This window comes from Homo sapiens, chromosome 9 (assembly GCF_000001405.40).
Source record: "Homo sapiens chromosome 9, GRCh38.p14 Primary Assembly".
Classification (NCBI taxonomy): domain Eukaryota; kingdom Metazoa; phylum Chordata; class Mammalia; order Primates; family Hominidae; genus Homo; species Homo sapiens.
The window spans coordinates 133795452-133816310 of NC_000009.12; the positions used below are offsets into that span (position 1 = coordinate 133795452).

General features: G+C 59.6%; 1 protein-coding gene across 9 annotated transcripts in view, besides 8 other annotated features; it reads right to left on the bottom strand.

Annotated features, from left to right (window-relative positions):
* Positions 1–20859, bottom strand: part of VAV2 (vav guanine nucleotide exchange factor 2) — a 230431-nt gene that overhangs the window by 33558 nt on the left and 176014 nt on the right. For 5 of the 9 annotated variants that reach the window (NM_003371.4, NM_001411028.1, XM_017015109.2 and 2 more), the window contains exons 5-11: positions 16663–16765; positions 13589–13687; positions 11807–11875; positions 10630–10730; positions 2259–2358; positions 978–1073; positions 217–285 (exon numbers count right to left, since the gene is read on the bottom strand). In NM_003371.4, coding sequence (NP_003362.2) covers positions 217–285; positions 978–1073; positions 2259–2358; positions 10630–10730; positions 11807–11875; positions 13589–13687; positions 16663–16765 — 637 coding nt within the window. Of the gene's footprint in view, positions 1–216; positions 286–977; positions 1074–2258; positions 2359–10629; positions 10731–11806; positions 11876–13588; positions 13688–14739; positions 14755–16662; positions 16766–20859 lie in introns of all 9 variants that reach the window. The other 4 variants (XM_017015110.2, NM_001134398.2, XM_017015108.2 and 1 more) reach the window with 1 other exon arrangement.
* Positions 3169–3338: an enhancer, noted in NCBI's record as "experimental_106974 CRE fragment used in MPRA reporter constructs". NCBI's record gives its function as "activates a minimal promoter by MPRAs in K562 erythroleukemia cells, with activity observed for both the introgressed and non-introgressed 9:136663827 or rs2318820 variant alleles {active_cell/tissue: K562}" and the evidence as "EXISTENCE:reporter gene assay evidence [ECO:0000049][PMID:34662402]".
* Position 3254: a transcriptional cis regulatory region, noted in NCBI's record as "Neanderthal adaptively introgressed variant 9:136663827 (GRCh37/hg19 assembly coordinates) or rs2318820 in the experimental_106974 CRE". NCBI's record gives its function as "modulates activity of the experimental_106974 enhancer by MPRAs in K562 erythroleukemia cells {active_cell/tissue: K562}" and the evidence as "EXISTENCE:reporter gene assay evidence [ECO:0000049][PMID:34662402]".
* Positions 5768–6288: an enhancer, noted in NCBI's record as "H3K27ac-H3K4me1 hESC enhancer chr9:136666341-136666861 (GRCh37/hg19 assembly coordinates)". NCBI's record gives its function as "activates a minimal SCP1, AML or CMV promoter by ChIP-STARR-seq in naive H9 embryonic stem cells {active_cell/tissue: H9 hESC(naive)}" and the evidence as "EXISTENCE:reporter gene assay evidence [ECO:0000049][PMID:30033119]".
* Positions 7410–7932: an enhancer, noted in NCBI's record as "H3K4me1 hESC enhancer chr9:136667983-136668505 (GRCh37/hg19 assembly coordinates)". NCBI's record gives its function as "activates a minimal SCP1, AML or CMV promoter by ChIP-STARR-seq in naive H9 embryonic stem cells {active_cell/tissue: H9 hESC(naive)}" and the evidence as "EXISTENCE:reporter gene assay evidence [ECO:0000049][PMID:30033119]".
* Positions 7933–8455: an enhancer, noted in NCBI's record as "H3K4me1 hESC enhancer chr9:136668506-136669028 (GRCh37/hg19 assembly coordinates)". NCBI's record gives its function as "activates a minimal SCP1, AML or CMV promoter by ChIP-STARR-seq in naive H9 embryonic stem cells {active_cell/tissue: H9 hESC(naive)}" and the evidence as "EXISTENCE:reporter gene assay evidence [ECO:0000049][PMID:30033119]".
* Positions 16331–17086: an enhancer, noted in NCBI's record as "H3K4me1 hESC enhancer chr9:136676904-136677659 (GRCh37/hg19 assembly coordinates)". NCBI's record gives its function as "activates a minimal SCP1, AML or CMV promoter by ChIP-STARR-seq in naive H9 embryonic stem cells {active_cell/tissue: H9 hESC(naive)}" and the evidence as "EXISTENCE:reporter gene assay evidence [ECO:0000049][PMID:30033119]".
* Positions 17087–17841: an enhancer, noted in NCBI's record as "H3K27ac-H3K4me1 hESC enhancer chr9:136677660-136678414 (GRCh37/hg19 assembly coordinates)". NCBI's record gives its function as "activates a minimal SCP1, AML or CMV promoter by ChIP-STARR-seq in naive H9 embryonic stem cells {active_cell/tissue: H9 hESC(naive)}" and the evidence as "EXISTENCE:reporter gene assay evidence [ECO:0000049][PMID:30033119]".
* Positions 18598–19351: an enhancer, noted in NCBI's record as "H3K27ac-H3K4me1 hESC enhancer chr9:136679171-136679924 (GRCh37/hg19 assembly coordinates)". NCBI's record gives its function as "activates a minimal SCP1, AML or CMV promoter by ChIP-STARR-seq in naive H9 embryonic stem cells {active_cell/tissue: H9 hESC(naive)}" and the evidence as "EXISTENCE:reporter gene assay evidence [ECO:0000049][PMID:30033119]".

Sequence of the window (20859 nt, forward strand, 5' to 3'; positions counted from 1 at the left end):
CACCTGAGGGGGCACCTGACCTGCAGTGCCCTCCACCCGTCACCTCTACCTCCTGTGGGTCTCACCCACTGCCCTGCCCTGCCCTGCCCCAACTCCTGCTGTCCCAGGAAACTGTCCACAGTCAAAACTGAGGCTCGTTAATGAGCCCAATTCCAGTCCAAGAACACGGGCTAAGCCAGACGGTGGCTTCTCCCCTGCCTCAGTTTACCCACACACCTGCATGGCTTCCAGTGCTTCTTTGAGCTGCTGCCTCTCAGGCCGTTCCGCAGAATGGCTCAGAAGCTCCTGGAAGGGTGAGAAGAGTGTCATGTGTTACCACTCGGGGGTTCTGGCCTCTGCCCTGGCCCCTACCTGGGGCAGGAGGTGTGCACAGAACCAAGTCCTCAGAAGAAAGCCACCCCCACCCGCCAGCCAGGCTGGGTTTGGCTGCCCGACACCAAAGGACAGAGAGTGACTCCTCCACAGGGGATACCCCACTTCTTGGCAGGGGCGCTCCCAAACCTTGTGGATAAGGGAAGGGAGTGACCGTGAGAAGGGCCATGAAGGCAGCAAAAAGCAAGGCGCTGTGCCAGCATTCCACGGGAAAAGGGCCTCGCAAGGTGCCGGGCAGAAACCACCGCCTTCCCTCCCAGGTCTGGCTTTCCTGAAGCCCTTCCATGTCCATTTCTGCCATGGCCACCAGGAAGCTCAGAGACCAACCACAGTAGCTTTCTTATTCCTGGTGTGAGGACGCTTTTCTGTCTCTTTCAGTTTTCTGACCTCTTTAGTGATTGGACTCATCATTTTCCTCTGTGTATTTACTGTGATAATCGGCCATCACATGCATTGAGCGGTGATTATGAGCTAAGCATGAACTGACTTGTCTATATTCAACTTAATCTGTCTGTGGGCTGCAACCTATACCCCCTGGAAGCTGCCAGCCCTCATCTGACTCCAGCAGTGATGACCCCGCAGGCACCCGGGGCCCAGAGCCTCACCTTCAAGAGCAGGTGGTATTTGAGCACCCTCTGCATGGGGACCACCAGCAGGTCTTGCAGCTTAAATTTTCCATCCTGGACCTTCAGTGTGCACTCCTGGGAGGGCGACAGGGCGATGGGAGAGCCCTCCCCGAGGAAAGCCTGAACCCACCCACCTGTACCCCCGCCCACAGAGAGGGGAGACCTAAGCCCAGAACTCAGGCCCAGACGTTTGGCCCTTCTCTAGCCAGGCTCCCGGAACCAGTCCATGCACCAGGTGTGTGCAGAGGGGGGGGCTTCACAACACATGGCTCCCACCCTGCCGTGTCTGCACTGGCCACACTGGGACGCAGTGAGACACGTGCGATGCTACGGAAACCCTCTCGGGGCGCCTGCTGGGCCTGTCTGGATGTGGCCTTGACTCTTCCGCCAGGCCAGGTCCTTTGGAGAAGGTCCTTTGGAGAAGGGGCAGCAGGCCATCCCCCATTCACCAACCCCTCTCTGGTCTGGCCTCTGGGAGAAGCAAGGTGGGGCACCAACTTGCACTGAGCTGTGGGGCCACTCCCAGGAACCAGGGCATTCCCCCATTCATTGACTGGACTTGGGGGGCATCGTGCATCTCTACTGGGGGGCCACGCTGCCTCCACCACTGCTAGAGCCAGGGGGCTCTTCACCAGGCTCCACGCAGAAACCAGGGTGTACTAACCAGATGGAGCCTGGAAACTCCAGCTGGGAACAGGAGGGGCTGGGAGGGGCTCACGTGAGAAACACTAGATGTTGACAGAGACTTGCCCTGGGCCTGGGGTGAGGATGGATGAGGGGTGGGTGGCCCCACAGTTCCCAGCAAATGTTACCCGGGACTCCCTGGGGTCAGCGGAGGCCAGGATCAGGGGTCAGTCAGAGCCCCCAGTTGATAGAGACTCGCCCTGGGCCTGGGGTGAGGATGGATGAGGGGTGGGTGGTCCCACAGTTCCCAGCAAATGGCACCTGGGGCTCCCTGGAGTCAGCAGAGGCCAGGATCAGGGGTCAGCCAGAGCCCCCAGCTGAGTCAGATTCAGTCCCAAGGACGTTTCTCCATGGGGAGTCTCACTGTGTCCTGGCCTGGGATGGTGACCTCCACCCAACCCACTCCCCAACCCAACACAATGCAAAAAAGAAAAATCTACAAAAAACCATTACGTCATCACCCCCATCACCACCTTCCCAACAAATGGGCAAGAGAGAGGCTGGTACCTAACGAGCTCTGGCCTGCAAGCTGCAACCTTGGAGCCAGGGCCAGGGCCAACGCCTGGCAGGACTTACCTCGACTTTCTGCCTGAAGTCCTCCCGGCTGGCCAGGAGCTGGTTCAGTGTGTTCTGGGCGTGCTCCATGTGGCTGCAGTACTCCCCGTAGATCAGAAGCCTGGACGGTGCACACACACGCACACACGCACACAGATTTAATGAGCAGCTCGGGGCTGCAGTGAGCCCGTCCATTTTTCCCAGCAGGCTGTAGGTGCGCAACCAACAGGCCCCTCCCCTGACAGCTCCCTGCACGTGGACACATTCAACGGCCAGGAGGCTGCTCTCCCCTTCCCGAAGCTACCGGGCCGCAGGAGGGCTGCCGGCGTGCTGGGAGAGGGGGTGCCCCTGCTCTTCCTGAGTCCCAGGTGGTTCTAGGTCAGGTCCCGGCTGGGATGCAGGCTGGAGCTCTCAACCTCCCATCCCACCCCCAAAAAGGGCCAACACTGGAGGAAAGAGAAGCCCCTGACATCCCCCCAGGAAAGAAGACCCCAGGAGGGCTCAGAATCTTGCCCCCAGGCCCTGAGCACCGAGGCCTGCACTGGCTCAGGGCTCACCCTCATGCTGTGCCAGGTGGGGAACCCCTAAGGGTCACCCTTGTTGCTTCCACATGGTGTCTGGATTCCACAAGCAGGGGACAACAGCAGTGACAGCCCCGTCTTCAGGGATGCAGGCAGCCAGGTGGCCCCCGGACCTGGGAGGACGCCCAGGAAGCCAGCCCTCGTGTCCTGCCCACCGCCTCCTCCTGGCCCCAGCATCGCTCTCTCCCGGCCACTCTGATTCCCCCTTCAGTGCCTTGTGCTGGTCTCTTTAGCCACGACACCTTCTCCCTCTCCCTGCACTGGGCCCACATCTCTACAAACTGGAACCCAGGGTTCCCGGCCTCTGGAGCCTCAGGGTCTTAGGTTACCAGCCTGAAACTTCATCTTTAAAACCCCATAACCCCACCGACAGGGCAGTCCCAAAGAAGAACCACACCAGGTGACAATGTTGGTGACAACAAGGATGACAAGAGCCACCACTCGCTGAGGCAGCTGCTGCCAGGTGCTCTGCCGACAAGCCTTATGACTTTTTTGCCCATTTGTAAAGATGGGGGTGATTAGCCCCACTCTTCAGGCAGGGAGACTGAGGCCTCCGTGAACTTGCTAGGAGCTGACAGTCTGGCCTGCAAGGCTGGGCCGGACCCAGCGTCCTGGTGATATGCTCTCTGGCAGGGCTGTGTGTTGGTGTCTGGAGGCTCCCCTGGCCCGGGAAGCCCAGGGCAGGCTCTTGGGACCAGGTCACCATGGCCTCTGGGCCATTTCTCTTTCCATCATGAGAGCTGCTTTGCCGTAGGGCACCCGGCCTGGGGCTCGGGGCGGGCAGCTGGGCCTGTAGCCTGGCTTCTGCGGAGGGTGGCCCTCGGGGAGAAGCGTCCTGATGGTGGGGTCTTGATGCAGGGACAGGTTTCCATCCAAGTGGCTCTGCCACATGGGAGAACAGAACAGTGGCTGGGAACACATTTTCTGCCTAGGGAGCATGTCCCTTTGGAGCTGGCTCAGGCACAGGGACGGGCATCTTGACACACTTCCTACTCCCAACAAATGCTCATGAGGCTGTCCTCACCACGGCCAGGGCCGCCAGAGGCCCTGACACCCTCCCAGCGCTGCGCGTGGGGTCCAGTGACTGGTACTTCCTCAGGCCGCCCGAGAATCCTCCCTCACAAGCCTGCAGGGACACCTCTGGCATGCGAGGCTGACAGTCCACGACTCTGATAAAGGACCTGAATCTGCTCGAAGCTCACCTGACCCAGCCACAGTCAAGCAAAGCACCCATGGCCGGTCCCACATGGCCTGCAGGGGTGTGTCCCCATGGGGGGATCCCGTGTCCACAGACCTGGGAGGTCTGCATGGAGGCATCACCATCATTGCAAAGGGCCTGCCTCCTGCCTGGTGCTTGGGCTGTGTGTTGACTGGGAGCCACTTTAAATGGGAACCTGCCCCCTGGTTACCACCTAAATGAGTCTGTTATTACACTGATCATTTTCATATAAAAGTTGGTGAAAACCTATCATCTCTGGAAGCAATCGAGAAAAAGGGTTTTCCCCTTTTAAAAAAAAATGAACAAAAGCTTCAGAAGCCCCCGGTAGAGTAGGAGAGGAGAGAAGGAACAGAGGGACATTTAAGAGACCACCGGACAGCCCGAAAGTGAGCGGACAAGACACTGACTCCCGGCGGCCGCCTGCACCTGCCCCGCTCCGGATCGGTGTTTTCTCCACCCTGAGAGAATGGTCAGAGCCATGCGCAGAAGACACGCCACACACACTGGGCATCACTTGGTGCCAGGACCTGGGCTGGAAGCTCTGGGACCGTGACTGTCGCCGTTCTACCCATGGGGACACTGAGGCTCAGAGAGCCCCGTAGCTGAGAAGGGAATCACACCAACAGTCACCGACCCCAAAGCCCAGTTCCTGGGGCTGTCCTAGGGCTGCACTGCTCTGCCTCCTGGCTGTGCCTCCTATCTGATGATGACACCAGACCAGAAGCAAGGCAGGAGGTCCAGGGGCACCCCAAACCCTAAGGCCCCCAGCCCACCCCTGTGGCCCCTTTGAAAAGTGCCCCTGACCTGGCCTGAGGACTCTAGGTGGGGAAGCCAGGGCAGGTGGTGAACCTCAAGGCTTTCAGAGCTTCCCAAGACCGCCTGGAGGCGGGAGGACGAGTCTGGGCTGGGGAGAAGGAAAGACAGAGTCCCCAGCGAGGGGTCCTGCCCGCATGGAGCCATGTCTGCTGCTGCTGGGGCTGGGGCCACGCTCGGGCCCGAGGGACACCACACTGCCTGACTTCCCACCAGGCCCCGCACCACTGCGGACTCGGCTTCAAGCATTTCAGGTGAGCTGGGCCCAGTGATGGCCCCAGTCCCTCCCTGTCGAGGCAAGTCTTCATGTAGGTGGAAAAAGCTCCCAACTGAAGCCCAGCGGATAACATGCCTGGTGCCAGCAGCTCTAGTGTGGCCAAACCAGCTTTGTGAGCTCCGCCTTTCAATTTCACACCAAGTCACCTTGGCCCGAGGTTTAGGTGGACGAGGGGCTGGAGTGCAGATCCCAGCCTTACTCTCCTCACACCATGCTCTACCGGGAACACCCACATCAGCCACAGCACAGCTGAGCTGGCAGCCTTCTCCACCTGGCAAACTTCTACTCGTCTGTCAAAACTCTTCCCTATCATTGCCCCTTCTTCACTTCAACCCCTGCACCAGCAGGGCCAGAGGGAAAAGCAAGGAGATAGGTCAAAGGGCAGCAGGTAGAGGCCTGTCCAAGGTCAGTGGGAGCCCAAAGAGGAGACTGCCCCGGGTGACCCCCACCCACCAGCTCTGAGCTCCTGCAATGGGTCTCACTCATCCCCATACCCCAGCACCCAGCCCGGAGCCTGCCTGCACCAGGCACTCACACACGGCTGTGAGTGGCCACAGCCACAAGCCTGGACACAGGTCCTTCTATCCATTTGATAAGAGGATGCAGGAGGTTGGGGGTGGGGGGAATGGCAGGCACTTGAAGCAAACAGGAGAACTCTGGGGAAAGACAGACCTCCATGAAGAGCCTGAAAGGGCCCTGGCCGTGGGACGGGCTTCACACCCGGGCTCACTGCATCCTCACAGAAACACCACTGTCACCACAGGGGCCCTGAGGCTCAGAGACGTGACGTGACTTCTGAGGTCGCCCAAGAAGGGGAACAGGGCCAGATTCCAAAGCGAATGCACATGGCTCTCAACCCTGGCCCTCAGGGCCCCAGGGTGACGCCTCTGCAGAGGGACACTCTCTCTCCGTGGAGTCCAGAAGGACACTCGAGGGGCCCGCGCCCTCTCTCACCTGACCCAGGGGCAGAGCAGATGCCAGCACCTGCACACCCCTAGCCCCACTGAGCAAGGGCAGCTGGTGATGGAGAGGGCCTCGGACCAGAACTCGGCTGCAGTGGGTCCACTAGAGCCTCACACTGTGACCTTATTTGGTCATGATGCAGATGTAATGAAGGTAAGGACTGAGATGAGGCCATGCTGAAGGAAGGTGGCCCTGACTCCAATGAGAGTGGCCTCAGAAAAGGACACAGAGACGCGGGGAGGCCATGTGGAGATGGGGACAGAGAACGAAGCAGCCCCAGCCAGGAACACCCGGGGCCTCCAGCAGCTGCAGGACGTAGGAAGGATCCCCCTGAAGCCTCTGCAGGAAGCATGACCCGGGCACACCTGGACTTTGGCTCAGTGAGACTAGGAGTCTGGCCTCCAGAACAGAGACATCTCTGTTGTTTCAAGCCACCATGTTTGCGGTCATTGTTACAGCCAAGCCAGGTCACTCACACAGACGCCTTCACCCTCCGTCCACACCACAGGACTCTGAGCACCTGCCACATACCAGGCAGCATGGGCCACAGAGTCCCCAGGGGGCACAGTTTGACTTTTCCCCGAAAAATGGAGAGAAAATGACAGTGACTCCAAGCCTATTGGAGGAAGTCAGTTAAGGAGGCAAAAGTTTACAGGCCTTAATTCTAACCACATTTACTACTGTTAAGAAAAAGGAGCCAAAACTTGGAATAACACACACGGGCACACATGTATGCACACACACACACATGCATGTGCACACAAACACACAAGCACGCGTGTACACACACACACACACACACACACACACACACGACTTCATGCATTCCTGGTCTGGTTGGAGCACCTCCCAGGGGCAGCCTCCCCCTCCCCCGCCCCACTCCGGCTGACTCCTCCCCTGGAGAAAGTTGTTCAGGCGCAAATGATTTCTGTCCTGATAGAGGACATGGCCCCAAAGGTCTCAGTGTGGTCACCTTGCAAGGCACGGCCCGCCGTGTCCAGCATCCTGCCCGACCTCCCCTCTCTGCTGACAAGGTATGTGGTTCCCTTGCTCGTGAGTTGACAGACCCGTGGCCCGAGCTCCGTGGGTATTTGTGTGAGGATCATGTTTTTTAACTTTCTGAGTACGTCAAATTCTGAACCCACCACACGGTGCACAAATGCCTCCTCCAGAGATGCCTCTCCTCTGCCCATTTTCCTCATGGTATCACCTCTGCCTCCAGTCCACACAGCCCCAACCTCTCAAGATGCCCAGGGACAGGCCAGCGTGGATTGAGGACCACAGGCCATGGGCTCAGGTATGGACCAAGGATGCAGGAACAAGCAAGGTGCACGGCTGAGCTGCCAGCTCTGGCCTCCGTTTCCCCATCTGGGAAATGGGGGTTAGACAGAGCGGGAGCTGAGGCTTCTTGACTTCAGAGGTTCCCAAAGGCAGCCCTGCCAGAGCAGGTGGCCAAGCCAACCCCTACTGGGGTTTTTGAGGTGGACCATGACCGGGGACTCTCCCTGCAGGCCGTACCCTGGAACCACCCAGCCTTGGGCTTCGGGTAGGAACCATCCACAGGGCAGCCTCACTCGTTCCAGGATTCCGAGTGGAAGTCTCGGTGCACCAAAGCGCTCACCTGTCTCGGATCCTTCATCTCCACATACGCAGGGAGATCCCACCCAGCCCTGGGGGAGGAGGGCGTGGCCTTCGTCTCGTTCTGTTCTGCATTCCTCCCAAAAGCGCTCGTGCAAAGCTCCACAGAGAGCTCCTCTTGAAAGCCAGTTCGTGGCCTTCCTGCAGGGCTGCCAGCTCCCCGAGGTCGTTCCCTTTCTAGCTCTCCTGCCCCCACGTCCCCGTATGCCCCCACTCCCCGCAGCATGACTCACTGCCCCACTCAAGGAAGCCACCAGGAGCTGGACTCCAGGCCCAGCCTGGCCAGACCCAGCCACAGAGAAAAACCACACGGCTTTGTCTTATGTCCACAGCTGCAGAATGCAAGCTCCTTCCCAAGGCCCAGTGTCCCTCTGGGTGGGAGATGCCCCCTTTTAGGCCCACAGGGCAAGGCTAAGAGGAGCTCCTGCCTTGTCTGAGGACGAAGGCTGCATTCATGAAAGTATAACCTCAAAAAGAGGGAGGTGACTGTCTCCTGCCACTCAGTGCCGATCATGCCACACCGGAATGCTACTCCACCCTTCACCCCCGACGAGCTGCCAGGACCCTGTCACAAAGCCCTTCAGCAGCTTCCTCGTGCCCTCGCTTAATAAAAGAAAAATTCTAAATCCTTCCTTTGGCCTGGAAGCCCCTGCAGGACCCTCCAGCCCTTCCCTGGAGAACCGCCCCTTTTCTACTGGGCTCATGCCTCTCACCTTCCCCTAAGCTTCTGCTCCCCAACCCGCCTCGCCCCACCCCTGCAGGACTGTGCTCAGGGGGACACGTCCTCCGCTGTGCAGCCCTCACGGGTCTCCTGGGCTCTCCAGCAACGCCGCAGCTCCCCCCGGAGCTTCTCTATCTTGTCTTGGTTCTCATCCATCCCACCCAGCGAGAGGCCAGTAGCTCTGTTCACTGCGTGTCCTCAGTCCAGAGCTCAGGAGCCATACAGAGCAGGCACCCTATAAAAGCTTCAGGACTCAGCCAGCAAGCAAGAACCAGGACCTTGGGGCCGAATCCGAAATGAGAGGAAAGGGGCAAAAAAGCTGGATGCTGGGACAGAACCACGATGATTTGGTGATGAGCTCTGATGAAACGCTGACAGCCCCTTCCCCAAACAGACCCCGACTGACGGATCTCGCCACACGCCTCGCTGCCAGGGACGGAGCTGCCCGTCCACAGAGCTCTTGGGCTGGGCCTGTGACTGGACGTGCTGCCCGCACTGCAGTGGCGCTCCAAGGCAGAGATGCCCGCTGTTCCTCAGCGGGAACCACCCATGCAAGGTCCTGCTGGTGGGACAGGGCCAGGGGTGTCGCCGGGCAGCCTGACTGTGGAGGGAGGCTCCTGGGAGAGGACAGGTTATCCACCCTGTCACTCTACCACACAGCCAGCCATTCCTCCTCCAGGGCTTCAGCCTTTGACGGACCTCGAAGCAAACCACGCCTCATCCGTGGCTCCCTCCCTTCCTGGCCGAGGGACAGCATGAACAAGGCGCTGAAAAGGACCACTGTACCCCACACCTGCTGAGGACTGGGGCGACAGCCAGTGTGACCTGCCAGCCGGGCACTATCAGCTCACCCACAGATGAAGGGAACACCTTGCTGAGGGCAGGTTAGGGAGCTGTCCTCCCCCGATCCCTGCCCACTCTTAACCCTCTGGGGCTGGCCAGTGTGCTCACACCTGCTGGGCCTCGTCAGCTCTCCTGGTCCCCTCTGCCACTGGACCACAAGCACTGCCTGCTCCCTCGTGTCTCCGGGAACCCTCCAAGCCATGGCCCCTGGAGAGCAGGCTCCAGGACCCTCCTCACAGGGAAGGGGGGAGCGCCTTTCCTGAAGCTACAGAGCACACAGGGAAGCACCTGCAGGGCTTCCCAGGCAACGTGCCTGAGAATCCAGCCCTGGGCCTGTCCCCGGCTGCCTGGACAGGGAGGGGTGTGAGCTGTGCTGACGGCCACCTGGCGGGTGATGCAGGGGACCCTCCTAGAGATGAGGGAGAGATGGACCCGGGCGCCCAATGCCTAGGCTCAGGGCCGCGTGGTAAGATGCACCTGTGGGGTCTTCTACAACTCCCCAGGCCCCAGAGCAGACCCAGACCCTTCCAAGAGTGGACCCCGGACATGGTATTTGTAACAAGCTCCCCAGTGGCTCTAGTGAGCAGCCAAGTTCAGGAAGCATTAGCATAGACCCCTTCGGGCTCCTCCAAAGGATCCCCGAGGGACAGAGAGCTTGGCACCGTCCCCTGATGGGGCTCTCTCGAGACTTCCGTGGCTGGAAACGCCATCTCCCCAGCCTCTGACAGCCTGGGCATTGTCTAACCCCCAGAAACGCCATCTCCCCAGCCTCCGACAGCCTGGGCATTGTCTAACCCCCAGAAACGCCGCCTCCCCAACCTCCAACAGCCTGGGCATCGTCTAAGCTCCAGAAATGCCACCTCCCCAGCCTCCGGCAGCCTGGGCGTCATCTAAGCCCCAGAAACGCCACCTCCCCAGCCTCCGACAGCCTGGGCATCATTTAAGCTCCACGTGCCACCTCTTTTCATCCTTGTCCACATCCTAACTTTAAAGAACCGGCCACAAGGGTGCAGAAGGGAGAAGTGGGGGCCCGAGATCTCCGCTGGGACAGCCGAGCCACTTGGATGGCCACACCTCTCACAGCCAGTTAGAAACATCCAGAACCCCAATCCTGCCCCTGCCGAGCTCCCACAGGACAGGAGGCTCCACACCCTCTCCATCAACCAGGCTGCGGCTCGGGGTGGGTGGCATCCTCAACAAGGGAGGACGGGGTCCAGAGGGGGCGGCCCCTGCCTCGGGACACCCCAAGAGTCCCACTTACACAAGAGTTCCACTTGTGTAAACTCTCCCGCAGACAGGGAGGGGCCAAGGAGCCCCAGGAGCCGGCAGCCACTCACCTTTCCTTGAAATCGAGGAAGACCTTGGCCAGCGTGCTGCCCCCCACCATCACGGACACGTCGATGGCCCTCAGGAAGCTGTGATGCACCTTGATCAGGTCCTGGGTTGAAAACCAGCCGTGAGTGCCTGGCCAGGCCCACCCAAGGCTAGACGGGAGCGCCGCCCTTAAAGTGCCCTTGTTGTTCTGTAGTTCCCTCAAGGAGGGGAGGGGCCCGGGTGCTGGGCCTGCACCCCACATCTCTGTGCATGCCAGGGTGTGATTCAGGTAGAAGGTTCTATGGCGATGGTGCAACAGAAGAGCCAGTACGTGTGGGAGGGAAGCCGCCCACAGCCCGCACCAGCCCATCAGACACGCAGCGGCCGACTCGGGGCGGGCTCTGCAGACAGCGTGGGGCGGCACAGCGCAGTACTCCTGTGCTCAGGCCACACCCCGGGACCCCCATCCCCACCCCGGGACCCCCATCCCCGCCCCAGGCCTCTTTCTGTCTGTGCTCCTCCATCCTGGCCACAGCTCAAGGACAGATGAACTCTAGGTCAGAGGCACAGACTATAGGAAGCTCTGGGGTCCAAGCCAGCCTCATCCAGGGCAGCGTGACCAGAGCTCACCCTTGCAGCTAATGAGACGGCCAGGGAGGCAGGACACAGCCACCGCACGGGCTGCTGGCACCTGTGGCCGCCAGGCCAGGAGGAAGGGCCAGGAGCAGCATGTCCCCGGAGGAAGCCCACCCATGCACGGCTGCCGGAGCCTGGTGCCAGCGCCCTGCTCTGCTAACCACGTCTAGGTGACTCTTTGCATGGGGAACTGCCTTTCTATGACTGAGTTCAGACACCCGCAGGGCAGGCGAGGGGGTCCGCTCAAAGGGGTGGAGGGACACGTTTCTCTCTGGCCGCTGACAAAAACTTCATTTACATTCTCAGCGTCATCCGTGCCTCCAGCCACGCACGTCAGTGCTGCCCTCACCCGCAGACAAGCGGAGCCCAGAAACCTGCTACCCTGGCTCCTAAATCCAAAGACCCTGGAGAGAGCGGTGGGGGCTCCTCCTTCCGGCCAGCACGAGCCACCACGGAGCCACAGGGGTGCAGCTCTCCAAGGCCCTGAGGACAGCAGGACATGTGTGGCCAGTGCCGAGTTAGGGCCCCGAGCCTGGCATGAGCGATGGGGGCCGGGACCCTTACCTCCAGGTTAATGAAGACAGCTGCCATGTCCGCCGGGCTCAGCACCAGCCGCAGGGGGCTCATGTAGTTCTGGAAGAGAGAAGTCCACCTCTGCCACCCTGCTGCTGTTGCCCACCCTCTCAAGGTCACAGCTGCCAGGGGAGGGTCCCAGGGCAGCTCCGAGGCAGGCACTGGGGTGCTCCATGCTTACTGGGGTAGCCTGTGTTCTGGCCACATCGGGCTCCATTCTTTGGAGGTGAGTGCAGGGCAGGAAGGTGCGGGGGTAAAGATTCTAACGCTCCCAGCGTGACGGGGGCAGAGTCCTGTGGTGGCCACTCACACACAGGGTGGACTTGGGCACTATGGCTGCCCTGAGGTGGGCGTTGGGGTTGTGGCTTGCGGTGAGGGGCTGAGACCCAGGAGGCAGGGCCATCACCCGTGGGGACTCTCTGGATGGACAGGGCCATGGTCCCCACCCAGCACTCAAACACTGAGCTTGTGCTCCTGAGCATGACCCCAAAACTGTCATCAAAAGGGATGCTCTCCACCCCGAGGAGTGCCGGTGGTGGGGCAGGCTGTGGACGAGAGTCCTCCAGCTCCAGCCTCAGGCGGGATGTGAAGTGAACATGAGGACGTGTGAGGCTGCTGACCCTGCTCTGGAGGCCCGGCCACCCTCTCCTCTCCTGCTCCCCGAGTGGCTCCTGGTCAGGGCAGCCAGCCGCTCTGCAGGCATCCTCTGGGCCCAGCTGCTGCACCGCTCCTTGGTCACCACGTGGCACAGAGAGCATCGCCCAAGCAAACACGCCCGGGTGGCGGCCCCAGGCTGGGTGGAGACAGACCTCAGGAGCCCTCCTGCTTTCTGCAGCAGCATTTAGCCATGGAGGGATACAGAGGCCAGCAGGGCCCTGGCAGAGGCTGACCTCAGAGCCAGGATTCTCAGAAGCCAGGGCATGGGCAGGGCTTCGAGGGAACTGGAAGGACCTGGGCCAGGGTGTACAGATGTGCGTGCAGAAAGGCCGCTGGCCAAGGACCAGAGGGTGGGGCAGCAGGAGGGGGCCCGGCCGGAGCAAGGCCAGCCTGGGCCCAAGGGGGCAGCCCAGGTCTCCCGGCTGGAGGCATCACGGCCACCCTGGTTGGTTTTTCTCCCCAGTAAACACTGGCAGTTGGCAATGAAGACTCAGAAGTGCTAGGGAAATGTCCCAGGGCCAGGTTGACCAGGTGCCTACAGGAGGCCCAGGTGGGGTAGGGGAGGTGAAGGCTGATCCTCAGCACTCTAGGAGCTCAGCAGGCCAGCAGGAGAGAGGACTCAGATGCACAAGAGTGGAAGAGCTGGGCAAGGAGCTTGGAGTCTGCAGCTCTGGTCACTAGGCCGGGCCATGCCTTGTGCAGGACACTCCCAGCCCCCCATGGAAGCTTTGTTCCATTTTACAGATGGGGAGGCTGAGTGTGGAGAGGCTGGGGAGCAGCTCTAGGTGGGGTGGGGGGAATACGCGAGGAGCTAGCTCAGTGCCTGCCTTAGAGCAATGTTCAGGAGCTGAAGCCGTAATCCCACCCCGATTAAGCTCAGAGGAGGAGCAGGGACAGGCGCAGGCCGGGACTTCAGGGGCTTCAGAGGAAAGGAGAGGGCACCCTCCTTTTGGGTAGGGGGTACCTGGAGGCAGAGCTGGGAGGGCCACCAAGTCTCCTTCGCCTGTCAGAGAGGCCCTATGGCCCTGCCTCCGGAATGCACTCCCAGGAGATAGGTGGCCCTGCAGTGACCACAGTGGCCGCTGCCATTTTCCAGTGGCCGCCATCTGCCCTCACCTTCTCAATGTCCTCCAGGGTGCGGTAGTACTTGGCCTCGGTCTCCTGGATCTCCAGCAGGCAGCAGTTCCTCTTGTCATCTTCAGTCATGCCCATTTTCTAGAGGAGGGAAGGGGGAGTCAGCAGGACCCCATGGGCCCGGCCACCTGCCACCTGCACATCTGCACCGCGACACCCGGACACCTCCACAAAAGAGGACTCCTTGGGTTTGGCCACGAGGTCACTGAGTGTGCAGTGCTGCAGCCAGATGGGTGACAGAGAGGGCCAACCCCTTCCCATTCATTTTGCAGATGAAGAAACTGACGCACGGGGAGGGGATGTGACGTGGGGACAGTGCCAAGGAAGGCTTGGAGGCAGAGCCTTCTAGAATCCCAGGCTCCTACTCCTCTGATTCTGAATCTCGATTCTTCACCAGACTGGGGTGAGGGCCTCAGAAGCTACCCCCTCCAGCACAGGAGCAGGAGTGACTTGCTAAAACACCTACTGTGTGCATAAGTCCTCTCTACGTGGCAGACTGTGTGCTCGGCTCCATGCAGACCACATCCACCATTGCACATGTCAGTACAGCCACCTGCAGGCTGGACTCTTCCCCTGAGTGTCCACTGGTTTCTAGCCAGGGGGCCTGAGATGACCCCCCACCGCCAGCAGGGTCCCTGGAGCCTCCTCCAGAGCAGGGCCTGCCCCCACCTCTGGTGGAATGTGGCCGGGACAGGATTAGAGATTGCCTGGCCCATGGTCCAGGGTGAGGTGACAGGTGGGGTCACTGTGGGGCAGTGATGGATTTTCCCAACACTGTCTTTAAGGTTCTGTTAGGCTGGGTAAACCCCACCTGTCAGAAGGCTCTGGAGAAATGGTGCTGTGACCCACAGCGCTCGTGTCGGCCCTAAGACCATCATCATCCTCCAAGAAATCCCCAAGGGTCCGCTTGGGTCTGCCAGGCTGCAGGTCTCTAAGGCAACGTGCAAGATGGGGCTGTGGGTACAGGACCACGGGGGTGCCGAGGGTCTCTGATGCCTGAAGTCATGTGTGCCTGACCATGTCTTCCTGGGGGCAGGGTCCCGAGTTTTCTCAGAGAGGTCTGAGACCTCCCTGAAAGGTCAAGAAGACGGCGCAGGCAGGACGTCCCCAGCCTCCCCTTCCGGGCCACTCACCTGCATGTATCTAATCTGCAAGCGTGGAGAAAGAACCAGAAACAGCGCCGGTTAGCAGGGCCCACACTGTCCTGGCAAGCTGGGCCTGGGACATCAGGAACGCCACCCCACAACCAGCCAACAGACCCAAAGCCACATCACGGCCCCTCGTGCTGCCCAGCTGGGCAGGGCGATGGCTCATGGGCCAGAGCTCCCATAGCAGCCCCCTACCCAGGCTCAGGAAATGGCATCTGCCATCCTCTGGCTTCTTCTTCCTTTGGGGAAGTCACCATCTCTATTACCTTCCACTGGGGCTGTTCAGAGAGCTCCAGACATGACAGGGAAGGACATGGAGCAGCTGTTTTATCTCAGAGGACCCTGGCAGGAAGCAGGAACTGCCCCTTGCCCCCAGCCCCTGCCTGGATGGACTGGACAGCTCGAGACCAGCGGGACCAGCGCTGGGCATGAGGACACTGTGCAGAGCGGGACATAGGCAGCGCTGTTCCCCAGCCTGGCAGGTTCTGTGGACACTCCATGTCCTTTCACATGCGTTTTCTCAAAGAGGTCTGAGACCTTCAGAACCAGGGACAGCAGCGGGCTCCAGGGAGCACCCACTCTCACCAGGCATGGATGGGGGTCTCGAGAAAGAGAGCCTGCAGGATCCAGGGCCAGGATCCCCCACACAACCTCACAGGCAACGCAGCCACCTGCTGAAGTTTACCTGCAGGACGCCCAGCTTTCAAACAACTTGGGGAGTGAACTGGCCTTGACCAGTCAGAGCTCATTCCCAAGTCCAGACGGCTCGCCGGCCGCCTCGGGACCTCTCAGGCCAGCTCCGGGGAGGCGAGGGGAGCCCCCAGCAGCAGGGCCATGGCTCAGTCTTCCAGCCCTAACAGCTACCCAGCCAGGCTCCCCGGGAAGGCAAACTGGAGGCCCTGCTGCCTCCACAAAGGGCCACCATCCCTCGGGGGAGACCCCCCGGTTATGGCGGGGAACAAAACTCAGTCGAGACCCTTCGAGGACAAGCAGAGAAACCTGCTCTTAACAGTCAGTTTGGGGGCTGTGAGACCCCCAGCCCTGCACCTGCCTGTCTCTCCCAGCAGGATGCCAGCAGAGTGGGCAAGGCCTCTTTAGGGATTTGTTTCCCCAGCTTTCTGCTTCTCCACCACCAGCTGGTTACTCCCACACTAAAGGAAAACACTGAAATCAGCTTTCTGAGAAATTTCCTATTTCTTTGGGGGAAGCCAATGGCATCAAAAGCCTCCACGGTTGGCAAGTGGCATCTCACCCACTCTTGGGAGCCTGGGGGTCTGAGGGCCTGTGACCTGCCCTACCAGGTCCCTGTCTCCTCATTCCAGCTCCGCTGGATCCCCACCTTCCACATAGCAGCTGCTGGCAATAAACCCACGCGGAGCAAACTGGCGTCCGAGAGATTATTCGCCAGTGCCTGCTTGGAAATAAACATCCTCCAAACATAAAAGACGCACAGCTGGCTAATTGGGCCAATATTGGTCTCATCATTCTCCACACAAAGGGGGAAAATGACGCGTGCTGTTAGACCATGCGCCAAGTTACTATCTTAAGGCTCCCTGGGCAGGAACAACTGAGGGGCCTGCAAGCCCTTGGAAGGAGAATCCCATGGCAACACGGGCGGGGGTCATGACCGTGGTGGTGTCATCTCTGGGCACCTGAGAACATCTCCATAGAGAGGAAGGGCACAGAGTGGACCAGGAGTCAGCCAGGGTTTCCAAGGATGCTCCTCAGAGGAGCTCCGTGGGGACTGGGAAGGACCAAGGGGTGCACCTCTGGACGTCCCCCTGCACCCAGAGCAGCTCCCCTTCGGTGGCTCAGACATGGGGACAGCTCGGTATTGTGTTAAGCAAGGGCCAGGCTGCTCTGCGAGGGAAGGGAGGGGAAGGGAGGGAGGAGCGGGGCAGGGCTCACCATGGGCTGCTGCACCTCCACCTTGATGATGTCCTCGTAGATGTCGTCCCCTCCATCCTCACACGGGACGCAGTCGTAGATGTCCTCCCCCAGGTCATGCTCGCTGCACAGGAGGAGGCGGGTTAGAGGGGAGGGGAGGCTCCCGCCACCCTGACCGGGGAGCCGCAGAGCACGAGGGTCCACGAGGGACGCAGGCGGCTGGGGCCACAGCGAGGTCACCTGCCCGGGCCTCAGTCTACAAAGTGGGGTGGGCCCCGCCTGCAGGGCGTCTGTGGGTGCGAACTGGGCAGCGTAAGGCGCATCCTCCAGTGCTCTGCCTGCTGCCTCCACTAGGTGCATTTCAGAGGGATCTGCCAGGACAAAGAACCCACTTCTCCAGCCCTTTGGTAAATGCTGGGGACGTAGGCCAGAGGTCCAGGGGCGGGACCCCTGCCTTCACCAGAATCTTCCCACCCCTACCTGACAGGAGCCCCCAGCTCCTGCCTCCAGAACAGAAGCCTCTCTCCCCTGGCCCAAGGCTGTGACCTGGAGACCTGAGTGCTTCCGGCTCAGCCCTGGCTCTTGCAGTCCTTGGATCCAAGGTGCAAAGTTTCCGGGTACATGGAGGGTGACCCGGAGTTTGTCATTTGCCTTCTGAAACCAGAGCCAAAGAAATTCCTACCAAAATCTAATACAATAAAGCTTTGTTTTAGCTCATGGTCCTACTCCAACAAGCCACCCCTCTGCCTGCAGGACTCAGCTCACGGGCCACCTCCTCCAAGACACCCACCAGGATCCCCACTTGGTCTGTGATCTGGACTCTTGCAGACGCTCGTGTACTCGATGCAGCTCCTTGGCTACATTTCCAGTGACTCTGTGAGTGGCAGCGGATGAGCCTGGCCCCTCCCCACACTGGGCTTCCTCAGCCCTCCTGATGCTCCACACCTGACCTGCTGGGGCTCAGCAAGTCTTTCACTGAATCAGCAACTGAGCCAATCCAACCACCCCCTGTTCCCACAGGCCCCGTTGGGGGCTCACTGCACCTGGGGGTGGAGGGGCAGGAGCTACCCCAGGCCCAGACAGGTTGTGTATTCAGTCCTGCAAGCCCTCACCCCTGCACAAGGACACATCTCACATCCCGGGCTCAAAGTGGGTGGCAAAGTTCACTGCTAGAAGGACGGAAATAAATGCAGAGCACCCCCTTCCATGGCCAGCACGCAGGGAGGCGAGGCAGGGACAGAAGCCGGGGCAGGAGCAATCCCTGCGGTACTCAGGAACGGGTTCCCCAGCCACGCTGTGTGCCACGGCCTCATCCCAAACCTCGCCTTTGAATATCAGCTGTCGCCTTTTAAGGCTTGGGTTGGGGAGGACCATTCAAGGTCTACTTGAGAGAGGGAGGGCCCGTGTGCATTCGAGGAAGGCCCTCAGCACCTTCCCTGGAGGACACGCTGCAATGCACAAGCCACACGGCGTCCGTCTGTGGGCAAAGCATCTGTGCCTCTCTAGAGGGGAAGCCGGGGGTGAGCCCAGCTCCTGCCTTGTGGAGCCTCCCGCAGGCAGGCGGGCAAAGGAGGCGGAGGAAGCTGTTGCTCCGGGTACTTCATTTTCTGCACCACTACAGTCGTGAGTGAGGTGGATGAAAGCCGGTCAGAGGAGCAAAGTTGGCAGAGGGCAGATGGCCCTGGGACAGACCAGACTGATCGAACCCTCCAACCAGCATTCAAAGAGCCACCGACCCATGGGCAAGCCCCTCTGTGTGCCAGCGCCTGTAGAAAAACAGTTATTCTCTTGGGCCTCACAGAATCCTTGGCGGTAACAGCACTGTGGCCATTGTGCAGATTAAAACAAACAAACTGAGGTTAAACAGCCAGCAAGGGGCAGGGCTGTGGCCCTCGCTCACTATCCTCTCCTCTCTCCCCACCCGCCCTCCACCATGAGAGGTCCATCTGGGTGTCGCTCAGCCGTGCGGGAGAACTGAAGCCGGGGTAAAGGCAGCCGTCAGACGGGTTGGGCCCACATTCTGGTGACAGAGGCTCCCCTGGGAACAGACATGAAGGCAGGAAGGGTGTTTGTGAGCTCACAGGTTTTCTTACTAACCCATCTCAAAGGTCCATCCCCAGCCAGGTCCGGCGACTGCCTTAGAAACTGCCACCAGCGATGACACAAATCACCTCCCCTGCCTCTCCAGATGCTGTCCCCAAGGACACAGCCCCCACCTCTCTGCCCGCCAGGCTACCAGGGATGCAGGCAAGTGACTGCAGGGGTTGTTCTCAGCGGCTGCCAGCCACCCCACGTTTCCGTCACGTGGCAGAGCGAGGCTGGCGGCAAAGCCTCTGTCGAAAACTCTTGACAGCTGGAGGCGAGGCGAGACAGGGAAGCTTCCAGGCTGCTGAACGAGACAACTCGAGGGCAGATGAGGCCACTCAGACTGTCTAGAGACAGACGTCAGCTTTTCTCCAACAGGCCAGGTGGAAGGAGGGGGGTTGGCCGTTAAATGCTGCAAGAGCTGATGACATGGATCAAAAACGGCTGCAAGCCGGACCTGGACAGGGGCCTGGAGATCGTCCCGTGCAGGGATGGCAAACGGCCACACTGTGGGGTGTCCCAACAGAGCCCAGGGCTCTCCCCCACCACTCAGGAGCCTGTTCATAAAGGCCCCCATGCCGCCCCCATCACAGGTCGACCAGAACCGGTTGCTGACGACATGCAACGTCTTTCCTCTCCCCCAGGAGCCCCAGGCTTGTCACAGTGCAGATGGGAAAGCCCAGCCCGGGCTGCTGCAGGTCTCTCAGATGCCATGGACACACATCCTTCACTCGTGCCTCCCACCGCAGTGGCCTTGCACTGCCATTTACTGAGGACTCTACGACGTGCCCGGCTCTGACAAGGCCTGAACGTATTCCGGGAAATACAGGATACGATCCACTGATCCCGGGATGGAAGAGGCACGAGCTCCATCTGGAGCCCAAACATATTAAGGAGGGAGAGAATAGGGAAGGCTGGGATGGTCAGAGTCTTCCTGAACAGATGAGACTCGAAGGATGCTTTGAAGCCCGGGTGGACCTAGAAAAGGGGTGTGGAAGGCAGAGTCCCCCGCCCGCCTCCCTCTTCCCTGGCCCCATCTTGAAGACAGAACTGTCACGCCCGGATCTAGGTACAAGTCCACGTCTGTGTAGCACCCGCTGCGTCTGAAGCTTGGTGAGAAATGCCAAGCATAGGGTTCTCATAATATTTTTGCTAAGCTTTTTAAGGATCAAAATACGCCCTTAGTGGTACCTTTCTGACAAGTGGCTACACCTGTGTCACTCATGCCCTCCCACACCATAGAGTATTTTCATCTCACCGGAGCTCCTGCCCTTCCCCATCAGTCTCCTTCCCGCCCCGAGCAACCACCCTTCTGACTGTTCTTCACCACAGACGAGCCTTGTCTGTAGAATGTCAACGGTGTTGTGCGTTAGATTTGTTTTTGTGCCTGGCTTCTTCCCCTCAACATTGGATCTTGTTTGAGACACATCCATTCTGACTTGCCCACATTTGCAGCTCATTCCTGTTTACTGCTGAGTACTAATCCACGGCATGAACAACAACGTGCTACCCATCTTCCTTCTTTATGGACATTTGGGTTGCCTCCAAGTTGTTGCTTATTGTGAATAAAAGCTGCTATATGAGCATTCAAGTTGTGTGTGTGCGTGTGTATGCACGCACGCCTGTGTGGTGGGTGGGGGGTTACACAGGCTTTCTTTTCCTTTGGAAACAAAATTCCACTAGGACTGGAACTCCTGGTCAAAGGGGAGGTCTAGACTCAACCTCATAAGCAGCTGACAAATGCTTTTCTAAAGTGGGTGCATTCTACACCCCCAGCCAGCAGCGCTCACCAGCCCCAGCTGCGCCACATCCTCATCAGCTTCTGCTGTTGCCGGTCTTTTTCCATTCAGCCCCCAGAGTGCGTGTGGAGTGAAACAGAACTGTGGTTCTATTTGGCACTTTCCTGATGGCTAACGCTGCTGAGGGGTCTCCTGCGTCCTTACTGTATACCTTCCTTTGTGAAGAGTCTGTTCAAGACTTTTGTCCATTTCTAAAAATTGGTTGTCTGTCTTCTTATTGAATTCGGTGAGTTCTTCACATATTCTGGATACTAGTCAGATATGTTTTGTGATTCTTCCCCCAGTCTCTAGCTTGGCTATTCACTTTCTTAATGATATTCAAGCATTCACCTTT